The sequence below is a fragment of the Homo sapiens genome, chromosome 2, assembly GCF_000001405.40.
Source record: "Homo sapiens chromosome 2, GRCh38.p14 Primary Assembly".
Taxonomy (NCBI): domain Eukaryota; kingdom Metazoa; phylum Chordata; class Mammalia; order Primates; family Hominidae; genus Homo; species Homo sapiens.
The window spans coordinates 134,502,528-134,518,516 of record NC_000002.12 but is presented as its reverse complement, the minus strand read 5'-3'; the positions used below and the strand labels follow the sequence as shown (position 1 = coordinate 134,518,516).

General features: G+C 45.1%; 1 protein-coding gene across 1 annotated transcript in view; it reads left to right on the top strand.

The window, feature by feature from the left end:
• TMEM163 (transmembrane protein 163) overlaps window positions 1–15,989 on the top strand; it is a 263,242-nt gene that overhangs the window by 200,484 nt on the left and 46,769 nt on the right. Inside the window, exon 5 of the mRNA NM_030923.5 lies at window positions 15,520–15,616. Within this exon, the coding sequence (NP_112185.1) occupies window positions 15,520–15,616 (97 nt within the window). The remainder of the gene's footprint in view (window positions 1–15,519; window positions 15,617–15,989) is intronic.

Here is a 15,989-nt window from a genome sequence, read left to right as displayed (position 1 = left end):
TTTAGTCAGCACTGTGGTGCGTTACATTTAGGTTCCTTAATTTCCCATTTCTAGGACAGGCAGGATGATAATGGGTGTGGAAACACCAGCACTTATCTCTTGAGATGGTGTGATTGTGATCTTTTACTTGTACTAGTGATTGAGGCACAAACCAATAGCCTATTTATGGGCAGATGTGTATTTTGTAGGGAAGCCAGCATTTTGTGAATCTGATAATCTGATAACACATTTCAGTGTAACTTGATATTCCAGAATTTTCAGAAACTCGCCCTTCTAGGTGAAAGCTCTAAGATGAATCATTAATGTGCTTTTCCCAATATAGTGAGGCTCTGGTGTATTGGTATTCTTCACATAATTAAATATCATTGCTCTGTTTAGAAGACCAGCTTCCCAATGCAATGGATGAATAACATTTTCTTTTAAAATTTTCTCCTTCTGCTTTCTGTATTATCCTTTTTCTCTTACTCTGGGAAATGTCAGCCTTTCAAAATAGTAGAGTGTATAGGTCACAGAGAAGTTGCAGAAATAAGTAAGATCAGCCAAAAACATGGTGCATTTTTTTTTTTCCATCTGACAACTCTGTAGTGATATATGAAAGGAAGCCCACAATTTGCAGATCACTCAGTGGGAAACTCATACTTTTTCTCCTAACTAGCCAGTGGGTAAATAATACCTATGGTTCAGTTCTTACATTTTGGTTATGCAAATAAATCTGAGCCTTAAACCTATTGATTTAAAATAAAAATCTTTAATAAGCCAGAATTCCCATTGCTCCATCTAGATTGCAGTTTTAGTATGTCAGGATCTTGGCGGTTAAGTCAAAGTGGCTAACTTTCAACATGAGGAAACTGAAGTCTAGAGATATTTTCCATTTTTTTTCCAAGTTAATGACAAGAACTCCTGGGCTCTGCTTCCAGTTTAGTGAATCCAGCAATATTGCTATTCCAGTTAGAAAAAATGAAACACAAAACTGTGTGTGAAAATTTTGTGTATGTGTTTAGGTTGACAAACACCCAGATAAAGAAAATTCCGGCTTGTCTACGCGGCAAGCCTCAAATTTGGCTTTGAGTCCCAGCTCAGTTGACTAGCTTCATAACACTGGGTAGCTCATAGACTTTTCCCAGACTGTCTCCAGCTCTCTATTTCTCCGTAATTCCCCATCTCCCCATCAGCCTTCTGACTTGTCAGAGGGGAAAGGTAATGTATACTCCATTGGGCAGTGTCAAGGAAAAGCATGCGAGAAGTCCACGAGAGTTCTCTGTAAGCCTCACATGCTTACCCACATGCCATGGGGTGTTTGCCTCAGGGAATTCATGTCCACAGAACTTGGCCAGCTTGATCAGCTGTGGAAGTTTGATCAGCTTCCCAAAGGGCACAGTATGGTGAATTTTACCAGAGGTCCCAATGATGGAAGATGATGCCACAGGATTAGATTAGAAATGTTATTTTTTTGGCGGGGGTGGGTGGGGGTAAAGCAAGTCAGCATGATAAGGAGTTGTGAAGTTACAAACTAATGACAGAAAAATCCATGTAAACTAATCCACTAAACACATAACCATTAATTACAGCTCACAACCTCCCTTCACGTTTGCCTCTGTTCTCTAATTTGGGGTGCTTGGTAAATCTCTAGTCTAGAGTAGCATTTTAGTCTTGCGGTCCTTGGCCGTAGACAGAGTTTGGCCTCTTCTCCACTCACCTGGGAGCCTTACCTTTCATACATACATGCATATATATATGAATAGATATGCACATATATATCTATTCATATATATATGCATATATATGCATATATATGAATATATATGTATATATGAATATATGCATATATATGCATATATGTATGACTATATGTATGAATATATGTATGAATATAAGTATGAATATATATAAAAATATATGAATATTTATGAACATATATATGAATATATATGAATATATATATATTTATTTATTTTTGAGACAGGGTCTTGTTCTGTTGCCCAGGCTGGAGTGCAGTGGCGCAATCTCAGCTCATTACAACCTCTGCCTCCTGAGTTCAAGTGATTCTGCTGTCTCAACTTCCCGAGTAGCTAGGATTACAGGCACCCACCACCACGCCTCACTAATCTTTGTACTTTTAGTAGAGATGGGGTTTCACCATGTTGGCCAGGCTAGTCTCAAACTCCTGACCACGAGTGATCTGCCCGTCTCGGCCTCCCAAAGTGCTGGGATTACAGGTGTGAGCCACTGTGCCTGGCTTGAACCTCCGCACATGGCCCATATTTTATATATGCTTAATATCATCTTGGATGACCTGTGCCTACCCATCTTATTTATGTTTGCTACAGTTTTGGGAGGGAAGTGGTCTTTTTATCATTCCCATTTTCCTTCTAAGGAAACTGAGCCTTGGAGAAGAAGCTATGAACAGCTGAGCTTGGGTAGCAGCTTTCTATGTTGCCCCAGAAACAGTGCAGAAACTCACCAAAACTGCACCTTGCACACCTGAGCCCCAGCACCCTGCAGGACACGTAGTACGTGCTCATGAAAACATGGTTGATTTACATGTCAAGTCTGAGACTTGATAGAGACCAGCATTTCATGTCTTGTGAAGATGCAAATACAGGTCAATGTTAGAAGTGATGTAGCTGGAGAAGACATTTCTAGAAATTTTGTTTTTGTTACAAAAGTACAGCACAGAAAAGTAGAAGGGAACAAAGTCTGTCTTCTTACTATTATTACTTTAGTGTGTGTTTCCTTCCAAAAATTTCCCCCTGGGTTTAGATTTATTTTTATGTATTTCTAATCTGCATATGTATATTTTTATATCCTGTTTTTCATTTATCTTTAACAAAAAAAATTTTAATGGCATCTGATAGTCAACTGAATTGATGTATCACAGTTACTTAAACACTCCCTTTGTGGCACATTTAAATTTCCCACATTTAAATATAAATAACACTACTGTGAACATTCTTCTGCAAAAAGCCTTTTCTTCAGGGATTGATTCCCAGAAGTGGATCAAAGTGAATGAATAATTTAAGTCAATTACTTGAAATACTATAATCAAGGTTAGAAACACTGGAAAATAGGTTACTAAGGAAATTATGGAGTATTTTTATAGGAATCAAAATAAATAAAAGATTTAATTAACCATGTTATGCTGAGAAGCCTGTGTTCAGAAGGTGCTGAGCTCGTCATTTCCCACAGAGACAGAGCAGAAGAGTGGCTGGATGCTTCAGACCCCGTGTGAGAGTTCAGAGACCACGGGGGGCTTCCATTCTTGTCTTTTTGATTCAGTAAGATTATTCACTCAGGTGGTTTTCTGTACATCTTGTGTCAGTGGGATTGCCTGGTTTTCAGGATGGACTAAGGCTCGAGATGACTCATCTGTTATCATTCGGACAGGCAACTTCTTCCCTTGGTTCCAAGTATCGCGTTGCTGAGACAGCCTTTTGCTGCCACTGCCATAAGATGCGTCCCTTTCAAGAATCTTCTATCTGTCAGCTTTGCTGCAATAGCAGCACCCAAAGTCTCAGTGACTTATGCTGCAAACTTGCATTTCTTAATCATTTCCATGTAAGCCAAGGTTTGGTGGTGGCCTTTTCCACATGAGATCTCATTCCAGGTTTTAGGCAGAAGGAATAGCTCCTCTCCTAGGACCACTGGGCAGAAATGAGGCCAAACCAATTGTGCACATGGAAAGTTTCTGCGCAGGTACAGTGATGTCATCTCCACTCACTGTTGACCAGAGCAAGTCACACGGCCAAGTCCCATAGTGGGCAGGATGTATACATCCCCTACACAAAGGTGCTGTGAATCACACAGCAAAGGTAGGGGTGTGAGGTTGAGAGCAATTGATGTGAGCAATGATACACACTTCTGCAGGCCTACTGGGAATTGGCCTCCTTGTTTTCTTTTGACGACCACTCATCGCCTTCTGTACCGTAGCATAGAAACCTCAGAATCTGGCTCTGTGCGTGAACTGCATTGACCATGTGGCCCAGGATGGCTTTCAGTGCATGGGCCATGGGTTGGACAAGCTTGGTCAAAGTAGTTCATGCACAGAGCCCAAAACAAATTTGTAAACTTTCTTAAAATAATACAAGATTGATGTACAGACCTCTTTTTTTAAAAAAAAAAAAAAAAAAAAAAAAGATCATCAGTATCGTTAGTGTATTTTATGTGTGGCCCAAGACAATTCTTTTTATTCCAGTGTAGCAAAAAGATTGACACCCCCGACTTTGACTCTAGCATGAGAGAATTTCTGGAAACAAAGGGTTTGCTAACATAGTACATGACCAACCTGGTCTTGGGCCTCTTCATTCTTGTGACAGGTGGCATTTTCTGAAGATAACCACAACCATAGCCCCCCTCCACATGTTGTTCTACAATGCTACCTTGTCACTCCTCCATCAAGAGGTGGCGTCTTGTCCCCTTCTTCTTTAACCTCAGCAAGCCTATGGCTTACTTAAGGGCTGCAGAATGCCCTGGAAAGACGCGGCATGCTTCCAAGGCCTTGGAGCTTCTGCCTGGTTTGAGTGGAGCACTGGCTCGGGGAAAGACAGCCCGCCTGCTACAGGAAGCCTGGCTACACCCAGGGGTGTTGGTTCAGCACTCTGGTTGACAGTTTCAGCTGAGCATGGCCTTCTAGCCATCCCTGCTCAGGGACGAATCATCTTGGCTTTCAGTCCTTGTTATCATTCCTCTTGGATTGAAAGTCCAGGGAGAGTGTCTGATGGGCCCAGCTTGGGTCAGGGGCCTGGGTTCCAGGTGGGGTGCAGTGACTGTCAGTCCTCCCCTCAGGGAGAATGGAGCTTGGAGGGAGCATTGAGGCCCATTACCCATGAAGCGGGAGGATGAATGCAGGTCAGGCCCTGCAAGTGTGCAGCACAGACAGTGCCTGAGTCAGTGCTGGAAAATGCAGATCTAATCATCTTCATCATTTTCAAAGCTGTCAGGGGCTCTGCATGGTTTTTCGCAAGAACGTTTATACAGCTTACCTTATTAGCACGTGAAGCTCCACAGGGTTGGGTCTCACTCTCCCTCCTACTCAGCTTCCCAGCTGGATCCGTCGTGGAACCTTCACTCCAGCTTTTCTAGGGCATTTGTAATTTCTTGGAGGGGGAAAGAATCTACTTGGCTTTGAAAGATTTTGGTGTAATCCATGTGCTGATGATTCCTGAGTCATGTTTGAATCTAAACTCCTGTTCCAGCTCCCTTCTCAACACCACCACTTGGATGTCTAACACACACATCCCACACTTACTGCGTCCACAGCTGCACTCCTGATCTTTTCTGCCCCCAGACCTGCTTCTCCTACAGTCTTCCCTGTCTCCAGAAATGGTAACTGTATCCTTTGCTTTTCTCAGGTTCAAAGCTTCAAATCATTCTTGGCTCCTTTGTTTCCTACCACGCATTAACAAGACTTGTCAGCTGTGCCTTCAGAATATATCCCTGAACAGACCAAAACTCAGAATCAGAAATTGTCCAGACTCACACTTCAGTACTATATCCTGATCCATATCATCATTTGCCACATCCTTACCTGCCTGGATATCCATGACATCATTTGCCACATCCTCACCTGGCCTGGATAGTCATGATATTGTTTGTCACACCTTCACCTGGCCTGGATAGTGCCACAGCCTGCACGCTGCTCTCCCTGTTTCTGCCCTTGGTGAACAGTGGTCCTGTTAAAACATGCCACATCATGTTGTTTCCAAGTTTGTGCGCCCTGTGGCTTCCCATCTTTGTAAATGCCTAAATCCTGACAACAGCTCTAAGACCTTATATGATCTGCCTTCACCATTCTCCCTCTTTCTTACTCCCCTTTGGAGTTAAGAGGGTTCCATCTCAGCGCCTGAAGCTGCTTCTCCCTATACCTGCATGGCTTGCCCCCAGAACAGTGCCTGGCACAAGGTGCAGTGGAAATGTGCGGGATGAATGAATTCTGGCGTGCCTTTGGACTTGCCTTCCTTTTCCCTGGAACATACTTTTCACTCCTCTTTATCAAGTTAATTTCTTTGGTTTGTTCAAAGTCAGCTCAATTCTCAGCTTCTCTAGGAATATGTATTTTTTTGAGACAGAGCCTTGCTCTGTTGCCCAGGCTAGAGTGCAGGGGTGCAGTCTCAGCTCACAGCAACCTCCACCTCCCAGGCTCGAGCGATTCTCCTGCCTCAGCTTCCTGAGTAAGCTGGGACTACAGATGTGTGCCACCATGCCTGGCTAATTTTCATATTTTTATTAGAGATGGGGTTTCACCATGTTGGCCAGGCTAGTCTCGACCTCCTGACCTCAGGTGATCTGCCCACCCTGGCCTCCCAAAGTGCTGAGATTACAGGCATGAGACATTGCGCCTGGGCCTCTAGGAATATTTTTGTGTGATTTAAATGCCCCCTTTCTCTACTTGGAGGAAAAGGGCCATGTTTTGTCCTCGTAGCTAATGCACAGCAGGTTTATTTGCAAATGGTAGACATTCGGTGTTTCTTCATGTTTCATAGGTTGTATCTGCACACACACAACTACAAAAACCATGATCAGCTTCTCTAAGAATATTTTTTCCTAAAGCAGGCTTCTATTCCCCATCCGTGTTCAGCAAAAGCTGTTCACTCTCTTTGGGTATCTGCCTGGATATATTCCATGCATAGACAAGCAGTTGTACCTTCAGCAGATATTTAAGAAAAAATTGGAATTGGTGCAGCTAATTGCCCTGACATTGAAAATACTTGCATGGTTTACTTGAAATAAACAGTTGGCTAAAGTAGCAAGGTTTTTAGATGTCCATATTCTCCTGAGAAGCAGGTTTACCCTGAGAGTACCTTTAAAATCTTTCAAAACAGCCACTGGTTCCCTTATTCCCTCAGCAGCTGGAATGCACTGAATTCCGGCCAGTCTGCCTTGGATCTCATGGGAGCCTGTAGGACCCGTGTTCCCTGCGCTGCCGCTTCTCCTGCCTTGTTCTATCATCACCTCTTCCAGCGTCCCTGCAGGTGCCTTCTCCTGGTCTCCCCGCTTCCACCCATGTCCCTCTTTGGTCTTTTCTCAAAAGAGCAGCCAGAGTGATCCTTTTTGAATGTGAGTCAGGTTGCGTCTCCTGACTTTGCAGAGTCCTCCAGTGGTGCCCTGCCATCCTTAGTGGAAAAACACAAGTCCTTGTGGTAATGGCAAGGCCCCTGGGTTCCAGCCACGTTGGCCTCGTTGCCGTAGGTTGAGCATGCTGGGTTCTCTCCTGCCAGGAGCCTTTGCACTCACTGTCCCTCTGCCTGGAGTGCTCGTCCCCAGGTGGCTGCAGAGCTGACTCTCCCATCTGGTAGGTCTTTGTTCAGATGTACCCTCATTAGAAAGAAGTGTGAGTACTGGATATAAAGTAACAGCACCCCCCCCCGCCTTGTTCTCCCCTTTTTTCTGCTTTGTCTCTGTATATAATGTACAGGGTGTTCATGTGTTCATTGCCTATCCCCATGTGAGCTCCACAAGAACAGGCAATTGCTGTCCTGTTCATGCCAAATCCTTGCCCTGGAACACAAGAATCAGTGTTTTGCTGATTAATTGGAAGACCTTGGGCCACGAGTCTCCGCATGCATTCCCTGTGCAGTGTACATTGGAAGCAGAGATCTTGGGTAGGGTTTGGCAACCTTTAGACGGGCTGTTCCCTGTTCCTTTCTTTCTATCCATTCCCCTCCACCCTGAAATGTGAAACCTGGAAGCCCCAGGAAAATGGCCCTGGGAGCCTAGGCCGGGAAGAGGCCTCTCAGGCTCAGGTCAGTGTATCTCACTGTCCAGACCTTCCTTAAGCTTGGCAAGCCCCAAACAGACTCACTACCGGCTCCTCACTTCCTGCTCTTGGATGCACCGCTACCTCTTCCTTTGTGTCCAGTCTCAAAATTGGGGTTGTCCTTGTACCCTTCTCCTCCTCTGCCTGTGTCCAGTCAGTCACCGAGTTCTGCCAGTTCGATCTTCTTGGTGTCTTTCCATCTTGATTCTTTTCAGCTGTCATGGCCCGTGCGTAGAGTCATCAGTTTGCTTTCGTGGCCATTGACATTGTCTTCCAGGCTATTCCCCTCCCTCTAGTTCTTACCCTTCAGCCTTCCCAATCCCAGCTGTAGTCAGGAGGGTCTTTGCAAAGCCCAGATCACATCATGGGTCTCCTTTGCTTAAAATGCTGCAGCGACTTCCTGTCACCACAAAGGTTTCCCCAACCTCAGACCTGTGTGTTCCAACTTGGTGATCCTGCCCTATCTGTGTACTAGCTATCCTATCCTTTTATGAACTTAATATTTATCTCAATATAATCATATTCATTTTTTCCCTAAGCAACAATATCTCTGCCATCATGGAGCGATGGTCTTTTTTTTCTGAGGTACATTAAAATATGTAACTATTAAATACAACAGGTTTTGGTCTGTATGCCGTCTAAGATCCGTTATGTGTACCATGGGTGATGCACCTGCCATCTTGAGGGAGCTTCCAGGACACACAGGGCCTTTCTTTGTGGCCACTGCATTGCTGCTCCCCTGGGGCCAAATGCTCCAGGAACAGCATCTCCATTTTGAACTCCTGCTGAAATAGGGCCCCACAGTGCTGTGTCTTTATGCTTTAGTCCATAAAATTTCCTCTGCTCTGTCTGGAGTAACCTCCAAAGCCTTCTAGTTTCTCTGCTTCATGATTCCTGTCCATTGTACACCCAGCTTAGATGTCGCACTACAGAGCCATCGTTTCTTCCTGTTCTGTCCTCACAGGTTGTGTTTTATCACTCTTAGTTCTGTCTTCATTTTATTCCTTGTCCATTGCCTATTTTCACATTCACAAGTGATGGACTGTCCTATAGTGATTTCCAGGTTTCCTATCCTAGATTCGTGCTCTCTGGAGGCTGGGTATAGATTTTGTTTGCCTTAGCCTCAGGGCTTGACATGTAGAACTTAAAATGTGAGTGACTGAATTTTCAAGTCACTTTCTAAAATGCAGATACCCTGGTGAAGCGGTCGCTGTGGCTGGAGATAGGTTGATGTTAGATGAAAACAAGAGAGAGACTGGCATGTAGACCTGGGGCTTGGTGGGCTCCCTGGAGGGAAGGAAATGGCGCATTGATTGGTGCAGGTACCAAAGGCCTGATGTGCCTTCACATAGTTTCCTAGAGCAGTCCCTGTTAGTCCACATAAATTGACCCCATCTTGAGGAGTGGCTTGGGCAACGGCCCCTCTGGTGAGCCTGTGTATTTTCAGCCCAACCTTTAGAACTGTACTGTCCAGTATGGTAGTCACCAACTACATGTGGCCATTTGGTTTTTAATTAAAAGAAATTAAAATTTCATTTCTTCAGTTGCAGTAACCACATTTGCAATACTCAGTAGATACCTGTGGTGAGTGGCTACCATATAGAATAGCATCCATCATCACAGAAAATGCCCTGGGTCTGCTCTGCTCTAGAGACTAATCATTTAACAAGTTCCTCATGCTGACTTTTGTCCCTAAAGTAGATGCCAGAAATAAAGTCCTATCTAAGTGGGATTTCAGTTGGTTGGGTTCTGTTCAGCTTGTGTATTATTACAGGTGTAAACCACAGGTCATTTGTTGAGGAAGGAGAGGTTTTAATGGTTGCAACTTGAGGAAGTGGAGGCTCTTACCATGGAGAGGGTAGGGAATGCTTGTGTGGAAAGTTGTGGTCTGAGTGACTGTCCCTGGTCCAAGTCAATCTCACCCGCTCCACAAACACAGCAGGTAGATGAAGATAGAGGAGAGAGATGGGAAATGGATGGAGAGAGAGGATGAGGGGCTGGAGTTCAGGAGAGTTGAGGGAAGAAATGAGGTGATGATGAGTACAAACATGAAGGGAAGTGGGGGAGTTCCAGAAGGAGGAGAGGAGAGAGGCATTGATAGTGACGGATTGAGGGAGGGGTGGAGTCTTAACCAGATGGTGCCGGTTTGGCTTCTGCATGATAGACAAGAGAGAATGGCTCACAGCCATTCCTTGCTCACTTTCTCCTTTTATCCTGCCTCCAAGATGAGCTTCCTCTGTGGCTTTGTTTGAAATGTCAGAACACACGGAGAGAAAGAGGGCTTAGCTGGAGAAAACCAGCATTAGGAATTGTGCAGTCATAAGTACCGTGTTATATGCTCACACCACTTAACTCTTTTATTTTTCATTATTTGCTTCACATTTGAGCACTGTCTCAGATTACAAATGCTTTGGAGACCAGAGTGAAAGGTGATACATAAAACAATTACACGTTAAACTGTGGGATGAATTGGTTAATCACCAGGGCTACTTTATGTTTAGATCTATCGTAAATTAGAGGGTGATTGGAGAAGCTTCTCTTGTTTGGCTCTTTTGATCTGATAGGAAGTAACCTAGAATTGGTAGGCTAGGACTCAGGCAATTTTAATGTGAGCCACAGGCCTTTAAACCTACAGATGACAAGGGGCCAAAGTTTCGATCTGACAACATTTTGTGTATGAGTGTCTGTCAGTAGGTTTTGCCCTTATAACTTCAGAATCAAAAACTGATGCTTCTAGAGATTTACAGTACTGTGCACAGTTAGCAATTTGGATCCTTTAGCAGAATAGAAAAAAAAAGGAGGCTTTAACTACCTTTAATCATTTCTTTGAAGTGGCTTGTTAACCATTGCTTCCTTTCAGACATTAAGTGTGTCTGTGTGTGTGTGTGTCTGTGTGTGTGTGTGTGTGAGACAGGGTCTCTCTCCATCACCCAGACTGCAGTGCAGTGGCACGATCATGGCTCACTATAGCCATAACCTCCTGGGCTTAAGCAATCCTCCTGCCTCAGCCTCCTGAATAGCTGGGACTACAGGCACACACCACCATGCCCAGCTAATTTATTTTTTGTGGAGGTGGGGTCTCTGTGTTGCCTAAGCTGGTCTCAGACTCCTGGCCTCAAGCAGATCTGCCTGGGCCTCTGAAAGTGCTAGAATTACAGGTGTGAGCCACCACACCCGGCCTATTCAGTGGTTCTTAAACTTGAGCGTACATCAGAATCACCTGAAGGGCTTATTAAAACACAGATTGAGGGGCCACGTCCCCAGAGTTTCTGATTCAGTAGGTCTGGGGTGGACTCACTCAGAATTTGCTTTTCCACCAAGTTCTTATGTGACGCGGGTGCTGCTGATTCGTGGACCACACTGTGACAACCACTGATCCGGTGGGTATTTATTTATTTATTTATTTATTTATTTATTTATTTATTTAGAGGTAGAGTTTCGCTCTTGTTGCCCAGGCTGGAGTGTAGTGGTGTGATCTCAGCTTACTGCAACCACCTCCTCCCAGGTTCAAGCGATTCTCCTGCCTCTGCCTCCCAAGTAGCTGGGATTACAGGCATACACCACCATGCCCAGCTAATTTTGTATTTTTAGTAGAGACGGGGTTTGTCCGTGTTGGGCAGGCTGGTCTTGACCTCCCGACCTCAGGTGATCCACCCACCTCGGCCTCCCAAAGTCCTGGGATTACAGGCGTGAGTCACTGCACCCGGCCGGGAATTTAAATTTGGTTTCAGTCTGGGTTGACTGGGGGATTATGCTGAAGGGGTACATCTCCCTTGCCTCTTTCTGATCCATGAAGTTCTCCCCCAGAGTTGGGGCAGGAGGGAGGAGTCTATATTCTTTTTAGTGACCTGGTTCCTCAATGCCCTTGTTACTGGCCAGGCCAGCCTTTCTGGGTTGAGGCCAGGGATTGCTGATGGAGCAATTACCCTTTGGCCCCCACCCGTCTCTGGTCCCCCAAGCCTGGAAGCAGCTCATACTTGCAGATGCATAAGCAGTCATATTTGCACTGTTTGCTCCTGACTCAAATCTTCACAGCATCCTGGAGACCACTAGTCCCAGGGCAGTGGTGGTGTGAGCACGTGATGTGGCTGCCCAGAGCTTTCGTGTGGCTGGATGGTTGAGCAGGGCTGGCTGTTAGGAGGGAGGCAGTTGAATGGGATTCTATTTCTGGGTGGACTTCACAAACTCCTTGAGTGACCTTAGGCAAGCCCGCTAATCCTTGACTCCTCCATTTTTAAACACTAGTGTTTATAAAACACCTCTCTCCCCACCCCTCATCCATAAAATAGCAGAAAAACAAAAACCTGGGTCCGGTGAGTGGCCTCCAGGGGACTGATGAGCTGATGTGTGGAGCTCTGAGTGCTAGAGGAGAAAACTGCTGTGTAAACACAATAAATATTAATAAATCGTTAAAAAATAGCACCGTGCCCTCCGCTAATAATAGCTGCTTTGGGCTGTTGGAGACACTCTGACATACAGGCTCCCAGCAGTGTGGAAGGAGGGGTGACTGTGGGTTTTGAATCTGTAACACATTTAAAAGATGCAAATGAGTTTTTGACACATTTTGGAGTATATTCATAGGTATATTGGTGAAGAAAATAGGATTACAATTCTGTGAAATTCAACTTTAATAAACCAAATCACAAATTTCTTTTGATTTTCATTATATTTCAGAGCTGCCTTACCGTGTGGGCTATTCCACGGGCATTTGGCTGACGTGTTGGGAGTCTCTTTCCTCCTCCCATCCCCAGTGGTAAATGGTTGATGCCTCCTCAGACTCCATGGGGGGAGCTTACGATCAGTCAGGGATGAATCCATTGATGTTCGATCCACTCTACTGCATGAGGAGTACCTGCTACATGCTATGTAGTTTTTGCCTTTACAGAATTTATAGTGTAATTTTGAGTAAAGATAAGTAAGCAATAAATTACCTACGAAGCCCTTGCATCCTTCACACTCATCTCCTTAGGTAAATGTAAACAGAATCCATATCCGCCTTTTGTGCGTGATGGAGGCGTGGCTGCAGTGAGCTGGTGAGAAGCAATTCCGGCATTATCACCACTGTTCCCTGTCAGAAAGAAGCAGGCATTTGTTCCTTCCTTCCCCCAGAGGAGTATGGAGATGGAAGCTCCCTTGGGGATATGGTGACAAATTGCGTGTAGAGTATAGCACGCAAGTTGTGGCTGCCCTACTTGATTTTCAGGGAGTGAAAGCTGGTTGACAAACAAATGCACTACAAGGCCTATTAGGTCCCACGAGACCCCCTTCCTTCCTCCCCAGCTTGGATGTCGCTTCTATCTCAGCCTCTGTTCCAGGGAGTCCTGTGTTGTCACCTCACAGTGGAAGCTTCCTAGGGACAGGGCCCCACCTGACTCTAGGCCGGACATTCTCAATCCTGTGTACACAAGAATTGCCTGCGGAGCTTTTAAACAAATGCAGAGGCTTAGGCTCACCCCTGGAAATTCTGATAAAATTGAACTGGAGTGGTGTCCAGGAAACTTTAAAAAAAAAAAAAAAAAAAAAAGGAATTCCCCAGGTGAGTACAATGTGCTCTCAGTGCTGGGAAGTGCTGAGTTGATGACTGAAGTTACCTGAAAAGGTTAATTGAAGAGTGAGTCTCTGTGAGTCACTCAGGAGTTTTGTGAATGGAGGGAAGGACCACATTGCGAAACTTACCTTGGAGGCCTATCCTGATTTTAGGCTCTTCTCCTGTAATGGGACCTCTCATGCACATGTGCTCATAGGGAGGAATGGTTACTCCAGGTCCCTGGCACAGCTGGTCCAGAACTGTCTTCCAAACAGGAGGCAAGTGCTTTGGGAGTGATGATTCCCAAGCCCTAGGAATCCCTGCTCTTGCTACAGTATGTAGTCATTAAAGGGCCCTCCAGTAGGTTCACCTCATTCCTCCAGGACTCTATCATGGCCCCCTCTGTCCCTGATTCCAGCGTTAGGACTGTGGTTCCCAGCCCCAGGCGCACTGTCACACACAGGCAGCACATTAGCACCTACTTATTGCCTGAATTGTCTCTTCTGCCCCTGGTGGATCATGGGGCCACGTTGCTCACAGCATTCATGTAGGTTCTGTAGGATGGCAACTTCTTTCCCCTGTTGACGTTGGTGATCAAACCCTGAACTGTATGCTCCTAGAGGTGACTTACTGTCAATCCTTGGTCTAGGGGTGGTCACCCTGGGGGTGTGGCAAGTTACAGTTGAGTCCATTCCCAGGTTGTGTCCTTGTCACTGTCAATTGTGCGGACTTTTCAGCAGTGTGGAGTTCTCCCAGGTAAGATCCTCAATGTTTCATTTTTTTTTGCAGAGCCTGTGTCCCTTGGGGGGTGATGTTCCTTCCATCATCCATGTGTATATTCATTTGCTCAAGTCTGTGCTGATTCCTAACCCATTCATTCCTTTTCCTTCCATCTCTGTTCTTTTTTGTGTTTTGCTCCAACCTGCGATGATTCCGTCTTTGCTTTTGAAGGAATAAAACCTACACCACAGTGTGACTTAGAAGCTGAGTGGAATCCAAGCAGCCTCGCTTACCTGCTTTTATTCCTCACTCCTAAATGTGGAGGATGGGGTCTGTTCACAGGTTTACTGGGTTATAAGTAGGTGCCACTTCAAAATTAGGTGAGCAATTTGGGGCCATGCTGTTACTCTAGAGAAGGGACTCCACGGTGGATAATAAAACGTGATTTTGTTTGATAGTTGGAGCAAGATTGCTCAGGAGGCCACCAAATGGTGGAGACATCAAGCTGGGACAGGAATGATCTCAACCTCACTGTAGTCACTCTTGTATTTTTTATCTTTTTTCTCCCTCTTCATCTGATATTTTAACCCTTGTAATGGTATCATTTCCTCATGCCTACCTTCATCTTCCGTCACTCTTCATTTTTCCATCCTGAGATTTGTTGTGTCTGGGTTGTCAGAGACTTTTCCTATGTCCTGAGTCCCATAGCCTTCTTTGCCAGTCCCCATGCCACACCCCCAGCTGTGTGTCCTCTCACTTCACCCTTGGCCTCACTGCACACCTGCTCCTGCCTCCGCCTGTGCTGAGTGTCTTGGTTGACCTTCTCCTTTCTTACCCCTCATTTCTGCCTTTTAGAGTTTCTCTTACCACAAACTCCTGTCTTGTCATTACCAAATCATTTCTCCTTTTCATCATTGGGAAAATGCAAAGGGGTCTATCAACGTCATATCCAAAAGTGACAGAGTAGACTTTCCTTTGCTTAAGCTAACAGTAATGGCTTCCCATTTTATGTTTGGTGCATTGTCTCATTTCCTTTTTAGGTAGGGAATATATTCCCATTTGAAAGATGAGGAAATCAAGGCTAAGAGAGACAATAATCAAGATCACACAAGTTAAGTAAATGGTAGAGCTTGGCATGTCTCATGCCAGAGCCTCCATTCTGCTGTTAAACCATGTGCCTTCCCGTTTGAGCAGGAATGAAACATCACATTTGCCAGGCAAGGGAGAAAGATTTCATGGCCTTGAAGACCCTTCCATGACAGCATTCATGGTATGCTGTGAGCTTCTGTAGGATGGTGATCTCTTTTCCCTGTGGTTGACTTTGGTGATCAAACTCTGAACTGTATTCTCCTAGAGGTGACTTAGTGTCAATCCATGGACTGTGGGTGGTCACCCTGGGGGTGTGGCAAATTACAATTGAGTTCATTCCCAGATTGTGTCTTTGTCACTGTCAATTGTGTGGACTCTTCAGCAGTGTGAGTTCTCCCAGTTAAGATTCTCAATGTTTTGTTTTTTGCAGAGCCTGTGTCATCTTGGGGGTGATATTCCTTCTGTCATCCATATGTATAGTGGTCAAAGCCATCCATGACCTCTCAACTAGGCTGCTCCCAGAAGTGGTAAGGTCCTTCTTCTTCCTTAACAATCCTTCCTGCCAGCGCTGGCCCCCTGGGCTGCCTCTTATCGCAGGGTTCCCGGGTGGAGTCGGGCATGTTGAGAGGGAACAGACAACATTCTGGGGGTCAGAAGAACTTGTTGCAGGGATGCAAATGACCTGGTGGAGAGAAACACTGGGCAAGGTGAAGAGACTCCAGATAGGTGAGCTAGGACTGGGTTCTGTGTGCCTTTCCTTAGCTATTTTCACTATTTTTAAAGCAAGACTTTTTGTGTGTGTAAAGAGAAATTGGGTTATTTTTGTGAAGCAGAGTGATCCAATCTGTGTTGTTTGCATCTGTTGTTCTGTGTTCATTCAATGATCGTTGTATTAAGAAT